The 13,662-nt window shown below is 59.5% G+C and overlaps 1 protein-coding gene across 4 annotated transcripts in view, besides 11 other annotated features; it reads right to left on the reverse strand.

The window, feature by feature from the left end:
• Window positions 1-160: part of a non allelic homologous recombination region, noted in NCBI's record as "sub-region TNXA/TNXB-1', recombines with sub-region TNXA/TNXB-1 within the tenascin XA (pseudogene) recombination region", that runs on past the window's edge. NCBI's record gives the evidence for it as "EXISTENCE:restriction fragment detection evidence [ECO:0001124][PMID:15081125]".
• Window positions 1-4,425: part of a biological region, named in NCBI's record as "tenascin XB recombination region", that runs on past the window's edge. NCBI's record gives its function as "recombination_partner: LOC106780804".
• TNXB (tenascin XB) overlaps window positions 1-13,662 on the reverse strand; it is a 68,186-nt gene that overhangs the window by 545 nt on the left and 53,979 nt on the right. For 2 of the 4 annotated variants that reach the window (NM_001365276.2, NM_001428335.1), the window contains 19 exons: window positions 11,691-12,014; window positions 10,973-11,296; window positions 8,301-8,624; window positions 7,573-7,890; window positions 6,666-6,953; window positions 6,037-6,315; window positions 4,478-4,759; window positions 3,309-3,629; window positions 2,684-3,019; window positions 2,310-2,432; window positions 2,052-2,195; window positions 1,740-1,859; window positions 1,478-1,621; window positions 1,254-1,384; window positions 1,002-1,134; window positions 758-909; window positions 569-665; window positions 315-476; window positions 74-237 (listed from right to left, as the gene is read on the reverse strand). In NM_001365276.2, the coding sequence (NP_001352205.1) occupies window positions 74-237; window positions 315-476; window positions 569-665; window positions 758-909; window positions 1,002-1,134; window positions 1,254-1,384; window positions 1,478-1,621; window positions 1,740-1,859; window positions 2,052-2,195; window positions 2,310-2,432; window positions 2,684-3,019; window positions 3,309-3,629; window positions 4,478-4,759; window positions 6,037-6,315; window positions 6,666-6,953; window positions 7,573-7,890; window positions 8,301-8,624; window positions 10,973-11,296; window positions 11,691-12,014 (4,166 nt within the window). Of the gene's footprint in view, window positions 1-73; window positions 238-314; window positions 477-568; window positions 666-757; window positions 910-1,001; window positions 1,135-1,253; window positions 1,385-1,477; window positions 1,622-1,739; window positions 1,860-2,051; window positions 2,196-2,309; window positions 2,433-2,683; window positions 3,020-3,308; window positions 4,432-4,477; window positions 4,760-6,036; window positions 6,316-6,665; window positions 6,954-7,572; window positions 7,891-8,300; window positions 8,625-10,972; window positions 11,297-11,690; window positions 12,015-13,662 lie in introns of those variants that run through there. The other 2 variants (NM_019105.8, NM_032470.4) reach the window with 2 other exon arrangements.
• Window positions 1,394-2,934: a meiotic recombination region, noted in NCBI's record as "meiotic double-strand break mapped by DNA meiotic recombinase 1 chromatin immunoprecipitation followed by single-stranded DNA enrichment and sequencing in the germ cells of some male individuals with PRDM9 AA, PRDM9 AB, and PRDM9 AC genotypes". NCBI's record gives the evidence for it as "EXISTENCE:chromatin immunoprecipitation-seq evidence [ECO:0000229][PMID:25395542]".
• Window positions 2,204-4,153: a non allelic homologous recombination region, noted in NCBI's record as "sub-region TNXA/TNXB-2', recombines with sub-region TNXA/TNXB-2 within the tenascin XA (pseudogene) recombination region". NCBI's record gives the evidence for it as "EXISTENCE:nucleotide sequencing assay evidence [ECO:0000219][PMID:10207042]" and "EXISTENCE:restriction fragment detection evidence [ECO:0001124][PMID:10207042]".
• Window positions 2,410-2,422: a nucleotide motif, noted in NCBI's record as "nucleotide motif; similarity to the predicted 13-mer PRDM9 A binding motif (LD hotspot motif), CCNCCNTNNCCNC".
• Window positions 2,462-2,477: a nucleotide motif, noted in NCBI's record as "nucleotide motif; similarity to the predicted 16-mer PRDM9 C-type binding motif, CCNCNNTNNNCNTNNC".
• Window positions 2,494-2,506: a nucleotide motif, noted in NCBI's record as "nucleotide motif; similarity to the predicted 13-mer PRDM9 A binding motif (LD hotspot motif), CCNCCNTNNCCNC".
• Window positions 4,153-4,425: a non allelic homologous recombination region, noted in NCBI's record as "sub-region TNXA/TNXB-3', recombines with sub-region TNXA/TNXB-3 within the tenascin XA (pseudogene) recombination region". NCBI's record gives the evidence for it as "EXISTENCE:restriction fragment detection evidence [ECO:0001124][PMID:12354783]".
• Window positions 4,225-4,476: a silencer, noted in NCBI's record as "fragment chr6:32013699-32013950 (GRCh37/hg19 assembly coordinates)". NCBI's record gives its function as "represses an EF-1alpha promoter that drives an FKBP-Casp9 reporter gene in an ReSE screen in HepG2 liver carcinoma cells {active_cell/tissue: HepG2}" and the evidence as "EXISTENCE:reporter gene assay evidence [ECO:0000049][PMID:32094911]".
• Window positions 4,890-6,089: an enhancer, noted in NCBI's record as "P300/CBP strongly-dependent group 1 enhancer chr6:32014364-32015563 (GRCh37/hg19 assembly coordinates)". NCBI's record gives its function as "activates an origin of replication core promoter dependent on BRD2, BRD4, P300/CBP, MED14 and CDK7 cofactors, with strong dependence on P300/CBP, by STARR-seq in HCT116 cells {active_cell/tissue: HCT116}" and the evidence as "EXISTENCE:reporter gene assay evidence [ECO:0000049][PMID:35650434]".
• Window positions 6,279-6,912: an enhancer, noted in NCBI's record as "H3K27ac-H3K4me1 hESC enhancer chr6:32015753-32016386 (GRCh37/hg19 assembly coordinates)". NCBI's record gives its function as "activates a minimal SCP1, AML or CMV promoter by ChIP-STARR-seq in naive H9 embryonic stem cells {active_cell/tissue: H9 hESC(naive)}" and the evidence as "EXISTENCE:reporter gene assay evidence [ECO:0000049][PMID:30033119]".

Consider the following 13,662-nt stretch of genomic DNA (forward strand, 5'->3'; position numbering starts at 1 on the left):
ACACTGTGGGGCTGAAACCTAGGCAGGCCGAGCCCCAGCCACCCCAGCTCTGAGCCGCCTCCCCACCCCTCACCTGATGGTCCACTGTGCTCCCGTAGAGCCCGTTGAGGTTGGCGTAGTGGCAGTTCCTGTACCACCAGGCCCCTCGGTAGGAGACAGCGCAGGAGATGAGCAAGCTGTTGGGGTCCCGATCACGGGCAGAGAAGACACTGCCGCTGTGGTAGCTCATGGAGTCCCCTGGGCAGGGTGGAGGAAGGAGCCATGAGGGCCTCCCCTCCCAGCCTCACCCTCCCAGCCTCACAGCCTCTGCTTACCTGCGGTGCCGTGGTAGCCCTCCAAGTGGAGGCGGTAGTACTCCGCAGCCGAGTCTACGTGGAAGGAGTCGTACTGGGCGAACACAGCCTCGTCCCCAGCCCGCAGGTCCACGCGCATGGAGTAGTCACCTGCCTGTGTCAGGCTGTGCAGGGCCTCATTGCCTGGGGGTGGGATACGTGCCCTCATCAGGGTCCTGGTGTCCACAGGGCCCCCATCCCCATCCGTAGTTCCCCAGTCCCTGTGAGGCACTGACCCAGCCAGAACTCTCCAGAGATGTTCCCAAAACCATGGGCATAGTCCTCCCAGTCCCTCCAGAAGTCTGTCTGTCCATCCATGCGGCGCTGGAACACCTGGGAAGCAAGTGGGGGCACCATCAGCCTCTGGCTCCCGGGGCAACAGACCCTGCCCTGCACAGACCCCTGGGCTTCCCAATGCCACCCACCAGCCAGCCGCCCCCATCAGTCTCCATGTCGCAAAACACGTTCAGGGGCCGCTCGCGGTTGCCGTTGAGGAAGATGGTGCTGGTCCTGGAGGCACCGGCTCCGTTCTGCATCTCCTCCCCGCAGTCCCTGGGGAAGGGGATCCGCAGCCCACCTGGGAGAGGAGAGCAGGGGCCAGTCCTTTTCCAAGCCTTAGGCCCTGGCTGCCCACCCAGCCCCCGGCCCCGGGCCCGTGCGTCCAGGTACCCGTGGTGAAAGAGGTGGACACGGGCGGCAGGAGGCTCTGGCCCCACATGGCCTGGAGCCGTGCATTGTAGGAGGTGGAGGGAAAGAGGCCAAGGAGCTGGTGAGATGTGATCCCTCCTGGGAGCAGGATCTCCTGTGGGACAGACAAGGGGGGGTCAGGGGAGAGGGAGGTGGAGACCCTCCGGGAGGGCCAGAGGCAGCACCTCCTGGAATCACCCAGGGAGGGGAGTTGGGTCAGTGGGGCCGGGGCACCTGGTTCTGTCCACCAGGGGTGTGGAAGCTGAGCAGGTAGCCTGCGGGCCGGACTGGGGGCTCAGTCCAAGTGAGCAGGGCGGTGCGGGGGGTCACTTCCTTGGCCTCCAAGTCCCGAGGGGCCTCTAGCCCTAGGAGGGAAAGCAGGAAGAGGAGATGGGGATGAGGCCCAACCTGGCTCCCTCTACCTCCTCTCCCTGTCCCACACACCCCACAGACCCTACCTGTGGTGAAGGTGATGCTGGCTGGGGAAGTGAGGTTGGGGCCCCGCAGGCCACGCACTGTGGCGGTGTAGTTGGTGTGGAGGACAAGGTCATGCAGGGGGTAGTCCACCGCGCTGCCTGGGGTCTCCGCCTGCAGAGGCGGGGCTGGGAGTGTAGAGAGGGGCATCAAGGCCTGCCCCCTCCATCCTCGGCCAGAGTCCAGCCTCCCCCCTGCAATCCCCACCCTGAACAAGTCCCCTCCAGAGGCCTCAGGCCTGCTCACCCCCAGGGGCTGTGACCTGGACGTCATAGGTGTCCACAGGATTCTGGGGGGGCTTCCAGTGCAGCACGGCGAATCCCTCGGTCAAGTTCAGTGCACGCAACTGTGTGGGACCGTCAGGAACTGGGGGAAGGGGAGGGGCTCAGAAGGGTCCCCGCGGCTCTCTCTACTCCGTGCCTCCCCAGACTCCACTGGCCTCCCGTCCGCAATCGGAGCCTCCACCACCTCCCTTTCACCCTCCTCGTTCTCTCTCAACTCCCACCCATGCCGTTTTCTTGGCTCCCACCTCTTGCCCCGGGTCCCAGTCCATCTCACCCGTGGTGAGGAAGCCTGTGAGAGGCTCACTCTCCTCAAAGCCTCGGACCGAGACCACGGTCACCTCATAGCGAGCGCCTGGGATCAGCCCCTGGAGTTTCTGGGTCCGGGCCTGGCCATCCACCTGCACACTCTGAGGCTCCCCTGAAAACATTGGGGATCGAGGGTTACCCAGGGAACCCCAGGGCAGCTGGAGGGTGGGCAGAGTGCAGGGGGGAGAGGAAATGCGAGGCGATGAGCACATGGCAAAGGCACCACCTCCGTCCGCCAGCTGGTAGGAGACTTTGAAGCTGTCCGCCCGGGATGGTGGGGGCATCCAGTTGACCTTGGCTGAGGTCTCCCTGATTTCACTGAATTGGAGGTCACGGGGGCTCTCCAGAACTGCAGAGGGGTCAAGGAACAATGACGCAGGCAGGGGCAGGGAGGCTTCTCCCTACGAGTCCCCCCCTCGCCTCTGCTCCAGCACAGGCTCACCACCCCTTTTCCTCTAGTCCCCAGGAATGGAAGTCGCTCTGCAGATTCCTCCAGGCCCACCACCAACTCGCCCACCCCCACCGCTGGCTGAGGCACTAGGTCCCCCCCGTGAAGTACAAAGACCCCCACTTTGGGGCAGAGTGTGTGTGGGTCCTTACCTGGGCTGAGGGTGCGGGCGGTTCCCTGGATGCTGTCGGCCTTGTGGGGTCCTCGCAGCCCATACAGTGTCAGGCTGTACAGAGTCCCGGAACGCAGGTCCCGGAGCACGGCCGAGTGCCGCGTCCCCGGCACCATCAGCTCGCGCTGCAGCAGTGGACGCGGATGCGGCTCCAGAGTGCTTGGTGATGGAACCCCAAAGCGGAGCAGGAAGGAGTCGAAGGCCCCCGGTGGGGCCTCCCAGTTGAGCCTCAGTGAACTGGTGGTCACGTCAGTCACAGACAGCTGGGACAGGCGGGGCCTTGACTCCTCTGAGGTCTGACCAGCAGGAGCCAGCCCTGCACGGAGTGGGTGGGGGAGAAGGGATTGGAGACAGAAGCACACCAGCTTGGTGACCCAGAGCACGTCCCTTCCACCCCCCTCCCTGCCCCCGTTTCTCTATCTGTAACCAGGGACTTGCAGCCACAGGGGGGTCCTGTGGGGCAGAGCTAAAGGCCACTCGCATCCAGCCCATCCATCCTCTCTCCCTGGTACCCGCCTCACGCTCTTTCCCTGCGACCACCCCTTCTGAGCCCCCGTTTCTCCCTTCTGAGTCCTAGGCTAGAGGCCGGAGACGCCTGGTGGTACCTGTGGTGCCCTCAGCTGAGAGGGGCCCCAGGCGCTTCCCTTCATGGAGGCCATAGAGGAGGAACCTGTAGGGGGTGCTGGGCTCCAGGCCTGAGATGAGGATCTTGCTCTGGTCGCCGTCCACGAGCAAGGCCTGGGGCTGCCCGTTCGTGTCCTCATACTGGACCACGAAGGAATCAAAGGGGCCCTGGGCCACGCTCCACGAGAGGCGCATGGAGTCTGGGGTTGTGTCGGTCACGGTCAGCACTCCTAGGCGGGGCTCTTCAGGAGGCTCAGGGGCCTCTGGGGCTAACTCTGGGGCTGGTGTGTCCTCTTCTGGGGCTGCGTGGGAGAAGCCCAGGGGAGAATCTGAGTGAGGGGCGCCATGGGGTGCTCCATTTTTATCTTCCAGGCTTGGCCCAAGGCTGAGGTGGGAAGTTTATAGGTCCAGGCCCAGTCAGACAATGAAGTCGCTGTGGCCTCGTGACTCCTGCGAGCTCCCGCGCTGTCTGAGTCAGGTGCTCGCTTCCCCCTTCCACACCCCGGTGTCCTGCCGAGCCCACCTCGAGATATCACAGGCTCTGGCCCCACCCATGCCGGGATACATTCACTGAGCTTGAGGAGTGTGGTGCTCCCTTCTGAGAGAAGCTGAGGGTGGAACTGGCTGGTTGAGGTGACTGGCAAATCCCACCAGCCGTGCCGTGGTCAGGCCTGTCTGAGGTGGGCATCAGCGAGCTCTGGAAGAGGAGCCTGTACCACAAATGCAGCCACTGCTGTTGGTTTCTGTGTCCCCGCTCATTTTGTTTTCCAGTGATGTTCCTCTTAAGAAAATGCTCCTGACTCATCCACGGCAGGGAGGTTTGCCGCTATCTGGACAAGGCCACCCTTCGGGGAGGCGACAGCAGCCCCAGCGAGTAATGAGGAGCAGTGGCAGTGACGGGGCAGAGTCGGGGCTGGGAGATTAGAGAGCCCCTCCCAGGGCCTTTCCCTCCCGCCTGGCCTGGCTCCTGCTCTGGACTCCTTGATGGATGTTGAAGCCCACAGGGCTGCAGACTCCTCCTCCTTCCTGGGGACAGGCCAGGGCGCCCCACTCCGGCCTGCCCACTCCTGCAGTCATCTTTGTCTTCAGCCCAAATGCACAAGGAAACCCACACAAGCTGGCTTGCTATAGCCAGGCACAGCAGCCTCACCTGTCATTCCCAGGGCAGAGACCGGGCCCAGGCGCTTTCCCCCAAGGAGCCCGTAGAGCAGAAACTTGTATTTCTTGCCAGGCTCCAGGTCCTCTACGGTGACTGTGCGCTGGTCTGCGGCCACAGGCACTGCCCTGGGCTGCCCGTCCGTGTCCCTGTACTGGACCACGAAGGAGTCAAAGGGGCCCTGGGCTACCGTCCAGGACAGGCGCAGAGAGCTGGAGGTCTCCTCAGCCACGGTCAGTTCCCCCAGGTGGGGAGGTAGCTCCTTCTCCAGGGGAGCTGTGCAGAGGGAGGAGGGAAAGCTCTTAGTCACATGCTGCCTTTGCCTAAGCCCTGGCAGCCTCCCGGAGGTGTGAGGTTCTGGGAAATGGTCCCTCCAGTGTAGCCCCAGGGACAGCTCCTTGAGGAGACACACAGGCCTGCTCCCGCCATGCCCCACAGGAATGAGGGAGAACAGCCCCCTCCTCCTCTGGAGGCTGCTGCCCAAACTCCTTCCTGCCCCGCCCCTTCCCTGCTGTGATCGAGGATGCGCCAAATTCATTACAGATCATCTCCCGAGGGATGGGTGGCTGGGGGTGCAGAGAGGGCCTTTGTTTACCCTGACCCCCAGCCCCTGAGCAAGAATGAGGCCAGAGCTGAGAGAGACTCCCCGGAGGTCTCTGGGTTGTCACGGAGACACCCCAAACATCGAGAGCTGGTCTGGGCAGCCGGCCAATGCACGGCTCCCATCACTGCCAGGCTGTGATCTCCCCCTTGTCCCCTTGTGGCCATCAGCCTGAACATCCGTGCCTCCTGCTTCCCCAGCCCCACACTGACCCCACTGGGCCGGGGCAGCCAGGGTGGGGCAGGGAGAAGACAGGGGATTAGCTGGGAGAACAGAGGGCAGAGCAGAGGCTTGCCCGGGTGGGGCTGGGGCCGATGGGTGGGGATCTGTACCCCGTCCCCACAGTGAGGGTTTGGGAAGAGAATTACGGAGTCCCAGGGACCCAGGCCCAGACTGGCCGGCTGCTCTGTCCTCCTCTGGGCATAGTGACTCATGGTCCTGGGAGTGGGGTGAGGGTCGGTGACCCACCACACCCCTTCCTCAGGGAGCTGAGTCATAGGCATAGTGACACCAGGTTTTTCCATCGTCTTTCCATAGCCAAGCCCTCCCTTTTCTTCCACCCCTCGGCTCCGAGTCAGGGAGGAGGGAGGAGGATGGGAACCACTACTGAGTCCAGCGCCATTCCCAGCATTATGCAGGTGAGGACACTGAGGTCCCGGGGATGAAGCGGCTTGTCCATGGTCACCCTGGCAAAGGCTAGGACTGGAACTGGAACACAGATCTGCTGGCCCCAAAGCCCGTGTCCCTTTTATTTCCTCAGCAGTCAGCGAATGAAAGGAAGTAATGCATATGCTTCAGAACTGTGCCTGACACACAGAGGGACTCACTTTCGGAGTTAAGATGGTTGTGTCAGGGCTGATAGAGGGAATCTCACGGGAAGGCTGCAGGGCCAGCTCTGAGGGCTCGGATGAGAGGCAGCTCTGGAAAAGGTGGAGGCTGGACTGGGACTCACCTGTGGTGCTGTCAGCAGAGATGGGGCCCAGTCGTTTCCTGCCTGACAGACCATAGAGCAGGAACCTGTATTTCCTACTGGGCTCCAGGCCCTGGACTGTGACCTCCCGCTGGTTGGCTGCCACCGGCACCACCTGGAGCCGACCATCCTTATCCTTGTACTGGACCACGAAGGAGTCGAATTCGCCCTCAGGGACCGTCCACGAGAGGCCCACGGAGTCAGGGGTCGCATCTGTCACAGTCAGCTCCCCCAGGCGGGGAGACGGTTTGGTGTCTGGGGCTGGAAAAGACAGTGAGGTGCATGGAGAGTGGGATGGAGGCAAAGGGGCCACGGAGCTTCCTGGGCTGCTATGGCTCTGTGAGCCGGTCCCAGGAACGGGAGGGTGACTGGGCCAGGAGTAGGAATAAAAGAGGAGCCAGACAAGAAAGCAAGTGTCCCCTGGGGTGCAGGGAAAGTAGGGAGAGGGATGAGTGTGAGTGGGAGAGGAGAGCTCAGGGCCTGGGTTTTCCTGGACCCAATAAATCAGTGGGTGCTGAGGACTGGAGTGTGGGGCACAGAACGTGAAATTCCAACAGGTGCCACAAGGGGGCGAAGGCTCTGGCCGCGGGAGGCCTCCAGCCCTCACTCACCGGTCCTGGCCTCCACAGGGACTGGGCCGTGGCGTTTCCCATTCTGGAGTCCAAAGAGCAGGAACTTGTACTTGCGGGCCGGGTCCAGCCCCGAGACGGCGACCGCTCGGAGGTCTCCGCTCACAGGCACTGCCTGGGGCTGCCCCTGCGCGTCCCTGTACTGTACCAGGAAGGAGTCAAAGGGGCCCTGGGCCACCGTCCATGAGAGGCCCACTGAGTCCGAGGTCACGGCCGCCACCGCCAGCTCCCCCAGGCGGGGCTCCACCGGCAGTGGTGTGGGCAGGGGCGCTGAAAAGAGCAGAGCAGGCCCATGGGTCAGGAGGCAGGACCCTGCGCAAGGGAGGCAGTGCTCTCCCAGGACTGGAGTGAGCATTTCTTAGCGGCCTCCTCTAAAACGCTTGTTTTAGAATCTGTGCCCTGCATTGCTGTAAGCAGCTCACAAACAGTGGTGCATTTAACCCTCGCACAACATATGAAGTGGGTGCCATTATTATCATCACCCCAACTTTGCAGGAATCTGAAGCACAAGGTTAGGAAACGCCTGCAAAGTCGCACAATCACTACATTCGAAGGCACATGCAGATCTGGGCAGCTGGATCTGAAGCACTTTCTGAGCCACTAAAATACTCCTTAAGGGAGCCTGAAGACTAACAAATGAGCACACGAGCAACATGGAGGTTCCAGATCACAATGGGAGAAGGAAGCTACAACAAACAGGGCATGGACTACCTGCCCATCTGACTCCACACAGTCTCCATGAATCCAAGGATGAGGCAGGATCATTAGCAACATGGGAGAAAAGACAGAAACCTAGAGGCCCAGTCAAAAGAGGTGCCAAGATCCAAAGGAGAAACACAAGGGGGCTGCAGAGGTAAACCTGGGGACGAGGGCCTGTCCCCCCACTCACCCGTGATGCCCACGGTGGACACTGGGCCCACGCGCTGCCCCTCGTGGAGGCCGTACAGATGCATCTTGTATTTGCGCCCGGGCTCCAGGCCCCCCACGGTGACCTCGCTCTCCTCGCCCCTGACACGCACCACCTGGGGCTGCCCGTCCCTGTCCTTGTACTGCACGGTGAAGGAGTCGAAGCGGCCCTGGGGGACGGTCCAGGAGAGGCTCAGCGAGTCAGGGGAGGATCCTGTCACTGTCAACTCCCCCAGGAGCGGCTCCTCAGGGGCCTCCGGGGCCTCAGTGCTGGGTTCTGTGGGGCTGGGGGTCTCTTCCTCTGCAGTGGAGAAGGAGGGAGAGAGAGTGAGGGGGATGTCCTTGGGTCCTGGGGAAAAGGAGGGAGAAGCCAAGGCTATGACTGGGGGACCTGAGGTCATTTCAGAGAAGTCCATTCTTGGGGCTGGGTGGTCCTGCTCAGCTGACAGCTAACACACGTAACAAGTTCCAGGGTCAGCTGTGGGGGACCTGGCACAGCCACCAGCACAGCAAAACTCCTGATGGCCCCTCCCTGCTCAGGGGGAGCCAGGGGTCAACCACATAGGAAGGCCCAAGGGGAGTCCCAGCCCCAGCCACAAGCAGTTCTGTGGTGCTGACCAGACCCCTGTCCCATTCCCCACCAGTCATCACCAAAGAGCAAGAGGTGGCCCTCCCACAGCTCCCACCCTGGGGCTCCCATCATTCACTCACCCGTCACCCCAATGGCAGACACAGGGCCTACGCGCTGGCCACCGTGGAAGCCGTACAGGTTCATCTTGTATTTATGGTCTGGCTCCAGGCCTGAGATGGTGACCCCGTCCTCGTGCCCCGGCACCCGCACCGCCTTGGGCTGCCCATCCCCATTCCTGTACTGGACCAGGAAGTGGTCAAACTGGCCCTCGGGAACCATCCAGGACAGGCTGAGGGAGTCGGGGGTGGCATCTGTCACGGTCAGCTCCCCCAGGCGAGGCTTGATGGGGGGCTCAGGGGTCATGGTAGGCACTGCTTGGGTGGTCTCGGCTTCATCCTTTGGAGCTGGACAGACACGTGTGGGGACAGTGAGGACCCTGGGTTCTCAGTTCAGCATAGAAAGGATGTGTCACAAAACACAAAGTGCCCAAGAACAGGACGATGCTGCCCACAGCGCCTCCAGCACAGCTCTTCATCCTCTCCTCCCCTGCGGCCTTTCCTATCCCTCACCCTGACCCCCCTGCCCTCGGCCCCCACCTCACCCCCACCTCCCAACACCCAGGCCACCTCTCCCTGTCCCTCCAGCACCGCCTCTCTTTTGAGCACAGCTCCACTTGGCCTCTGCACCCTTACCCTCCCTGCACTGGGGTCTCCTCGCCATCTTTTGTTCACTGGGCTTCTGTCTTTGCTCTGCAACAAGCTCAGCACACTCCTCCCGAGGCCAGAGCCTGGGGTGTGTTCCTGGACCCAGCCCCTCACCAGCTGCCAGCAGCCTCAGAGTTACCTCTCCCCCGAGTTTCCCTGGATACCTTCCTCCCCAACCTCCAGTCCCCGATCCTAGTTTGAGCCACTGTCACCTCTCACCAGGGCCACCAACTGCCTATTGGCTTCCCTGCCTCTAGGCTCCCTGCCACCCCATCCCCATCTTTAGCCCCCACAGATGAGCTTCACACAGGCACAGCTGCTGGGGCCATCTCAGCACAGACCTGGGCAATCACATCCTCATCCCTGGGAGACCCCAGGCCTCCTCTGCTCCCACACTTCAGGACTATCTATTCACTGCAAAGGACACCCCACTCAATCCTCAGTACTTCTCACACACCATGCTCTTTCTAGCCTCCTGGCCTTTGCACCACCTGTGCTGATCTGACACGCTTCACCTTCTCTCTAAAGCTGTCACCAAGCTAAGGCCTGCCTGGCCTCAGATCCTGACTGTCCCCTGAGTATCCACAGGTAGGGTGGTTTAGGTATTCCTGCCTGGCTCTGGGCTTCTTGTCACATGCTCACCCGCCTTTGCTTTCTTACTGGTCCACAGCCTGTCCCCCATGACGTTAGCCCCATTAGGACAGGAACTTTTCCCATTAGGACAGGAACCCTAACTCTGAGCCTAACCTCTGTGAGGATTCATGAATGCAAGAAAAATTCGCTTCAACAAATTCTAAGAGAGTTTCCAAATCTGTTACTGGGAGGAGCTTTGCTACAAAGGTGTTCTGTGATTTGCACACAAATATTCATAGCAGCATTATTCTTGATAGCTAAGAGGTGGAAGCAACCCAGATGTCCATCAATGGATGAAAGGATGAGCAAAGTGTGGTCTGTATGTGTAAAACGAAACATTATTCAGCCTGAAAAGGAAGGAAGTTCTGGCCAGGTGCAGTGGCTCTTGCCTATAATCCCAGCACTTTGGGAGGTCAAGGTGGGAGACTCGCTTGAGGCCAGGAGTTTGAGACCAGCCTGGGCAACATACCGAGACCCCCATTGCCACAGAAAATAAAATAAAAAGGAAATTCTGACTGATGCTACGACATAGATGAACCTTAAAGACATTGTATTTAATGAAATGAACCATTCAAAAAAGACAAATATTGTATGATTGCACTTATATGAGGTACCTAGAGTCAAATTCATAGAGACAGAGAGTAGAATGGTGTTGCCAGGGGCTGGGGCAAGGGGAGAATGGGAGTTCGTGTCTAGTGGGTAGGAAGTTTCAGTGTGGGAAGAGGAGTTCTGGAAGTGGAGGGTGACAGTCCACAGCAATGTGAGTGGACTTCATGCTGGACTGCAAACTAGAAAGCGATTAGAATGGCGAATTATGTCAAGTGTACTTTACTACAATAAAAAACAACAAAAAAAGTGTGTTCCTTGGACCAGTGGCATCAAGATAGATGAGAATCTTGTTAGAAATGGATGGTCGGCTGGGCGCCGTGGCTCACGCCTATGATCCCAGCACTTTGGGAGGCCGAGGAGGGCAGATCACGAGGTCAGGAGATTGAGACCATCCTGGCTAACACGGTGAAACCCATCTCTACTAAAAATATGAAAAAATTAGCTGGGCGTGGTGGCGCACGCCTGTAGTCCCAGTTACTCAGGAGGCTGAGGTAGGAGAATCACTTGAACCCAGGAGGCGGAGGTTCCAGTGAGCCGAGATTGAGCCACTGTACTCCAGCCTGGGTGACAAAGCGAGACTCTATCTCAAAAAAAAAAAAAAGAAAGAAAGAAAAAGAAAGAAATGCATGGTCTCTTGCCCTAGGCCAAGCCTGCTGAATCCAAATCTGCTTTTTAACAAAAATCTCCAGGCATTTGGATACACAAAGGAAGGAATACTCTTCAGAGTATGTTTTCACGAAGACTGGAGAGACAGCAGTGTCTTCCAGGGCCATCTTCCCCACCTCGCCTCACTCACACTTACTCACCTGTCACACCCACAGCGGACACTGGGCCCACGCGCTGCCCCTCGTGGAGGCCGTACAGGTGCATCTTGTATTTGCACCCGGGCTCCAGGCCCCCCACGGTGACCTCGCTCTCCTCGCCCCTGACACGCACCACCTGGGGCCGCCCGTCCCTGTCCTTGTACTGCACAGTGAAGGAGTCGAAGCGGCCCTGGGGGATGGTCCAGGAGAGGCTCAGCGAGTCAGGGGAGGATCCTGTCACTGTCAGCTCCCCCAGGAGCGGCTCCTCAGGGGGCTCCGGGGCCTCCGTGCTGGGTTCTGTGGGGGCGGGAGTTTCTTCCTCTGCAGCTGAGAAGAGGGGACAGAGAAGGTGAGGCAGCTTCCCTGGGGGATGTCCTTGGGTCTTGTGAGGAAGGAGAGCGAAGCTGTGGCCATGAGTGGGGGTCCTGGGGTCAGCTTGGAGAGGCCCATCTTTGGAGCTGGGTGGTCTTGCTCAGTTTACAGTCAACACACATGACAAGCTCTGAGGTCAGTGCTGGGGAACTTGGGACAGCCACCAACAGAGCTCACAGGGCCCTTCTCCACCCAGGAAGATCTGTCAGTCCTCAGGGAAGTGGGGAAAGACAAAAAAGTACCATGGCTCAGCCAAGAGCAGAGGGGCTTCCTGGGCCAGTTCACCCATCACCAGAGAAAGGGAGACCCTCCCACAGGCCCCACTCTGGGGCTCCCATCGTACACTCACCTGTCACCCCAATGACAGAGATGGGGCCCACGCGCTGGCCACCGTGGAAGCCGTACAGGTTCATCTTGTACTTGTGGTCTGGCTCCAGGCCTGAGATGGTGACCCCGTCCTCGTGCCCCGGCACCCGCACCACCTTGGGCTGCCCATCCCCATTCCTGTACTGGACCAGGAAGTGGTCAAACTGGCCCTCGGGGACCATCCAGGACAGGCTGAGGGAGTCAGGGGTGGCATCTGTCACGGTCAGCTCCCCGAGGCGAGGCTTGTTGGGGGGCTCAGGGGTTGTGGTGGGCACTGCTTGGGTGGTCTCTGCTTCATCCTCTGGAGCTGGACAGACACGTGTGGGGAGAGTGAGGTCCCTGGGTTCTCAGTTCAGCATAGAAAGGATGTGTCACAAAACACAAAGTGCCCAAGAGCAGGACGATGCTGCCCACAGCGCCTCCAGCACAGCTCTTCATCCTCTCCTCTCCTGCGGCCTTTCCTATCCCTCACCCTGACCCCCCTGCCCTCAGCCCCCACCTCACCCCCACCTCCCAACACCCAGGCCACCTCTCCCTGTCCCTCCAGCACCGCCTCTCTTTTGAGCACAGCCCCACTCGGCCTCTGCACCCTTAGCCTCCCTGCACTGGTGTCTCCTCGCCATCTTTTGTTCACTGGGCTTCTGTCTTTGCTCCGCAACAAGCTCAGCACACTCCTCCCGAGGCCAGAGCTTGGGGTGTGTTCCTGGACCCAGCCCCTCACCAGCTGCCAGCAGCCTCAGAGTACCTCTCCCCCGAGTTTCCCTGGATACCTTCCTCCCCCACCTCCAGTCCCCAATCCTAGTTTGAGCCACTGTCACCTCTCACCAGGGCCACCAACTGCCTACTGGCCTCCCTGCCTCCAGGCTCCCTGCCACCCCATCCCCATCTTTAGCTCCCACGGATGAACTTCACACAGGCACAGCTGCTGGGGCCATCTCAGCACAGACCTGGGCAACCACATCCTCATCCCTGGGAGACCCCAGGCCTGGTGAGTGGTCCCCTCCTCTGCTCCCACACTTCAGGATGATCCACCAACTGCAAAGGACACCCCACTCAATCCTCAGTGTCTCTCACACACCATGCTCTTTCTAGCCTCCTGGCCTTTGCACTAGCTGTGATGATTTGACATGCTTCACTTCCTCTCCAAAGCTGTCATCAAGCTAAGGCCTGCCTGGCCTCAGGTCCTGGCTGTCCCCTGGGTACTTGTGGGCAGAGTGACTTCACTGTCCCTTCCCAATCCTGGCTTGGCTCCTGGGCTCCACATGCTCATCCTTCTTTGCTTACTTTCCGGTTTTCTGCTTGTGCCCACAATTGTGAGCCCCATGAAAACATGAACTTGTGTGTGTCACTTTCCAGCTTCCGCCTATGAAAGAAAAAGGCAGCCCTGACACCCGTGAGCTGCCCTTTCCCTCTGCCAGGCCACGGCTGCTTGGGGCTGGCCTGGCACAGTCTGGTCTTGGCGTGGTCCAGTTGAACAGACAATTTCATGGAACATCAACATCAGACTAGGCCATTTGTCAGTAGGATGGATCAAGACAAGAACAAGGCCAGTCTGTGATCATGTCTCAGTAAGGATGAACTCTAACATTTTCCAAAGCACAAAAATAACCAAACATCACCCATCCAGCTAATCTGAGTGATAGCTGCTTCTTTACCAATGGCAGCTTTGGCCTTGCTCTAGTTGACCTCCCCAAAGATAAGACTTAGTGAGACGCCCGGTAATAGGGTTATCCCTTCTTCCTGACAGCGTCTAATAAAGAGCAAAACCTTGCTTCCTTAAATGCTTTCCTAAAACACCAAACACAAGCCCAGTTCCTTAACAATCTCTTTCTAAAGCCTCTTCCTAAGTCACCCCACAGTCCTCCTGCACTGCATGGAGCATAATTCCATCCATTCAATTTTAGGTGAGTTTCTGGAGGTCGTTGGCCAGAGGACATTGATACCCTAAAATTACA

This window comes from Homo sapiens, chromosome 6 (assembly GCF_000001405.40).
Source record: "Homo sapiens chromosome 6, GRCh38.p14 Primary Assembly".
Lineage (NCBI taxonomy): Eukaryota > Metazoa > Chordata > Mammalia > Primates > Hominidae > Homo > Homo sapiens.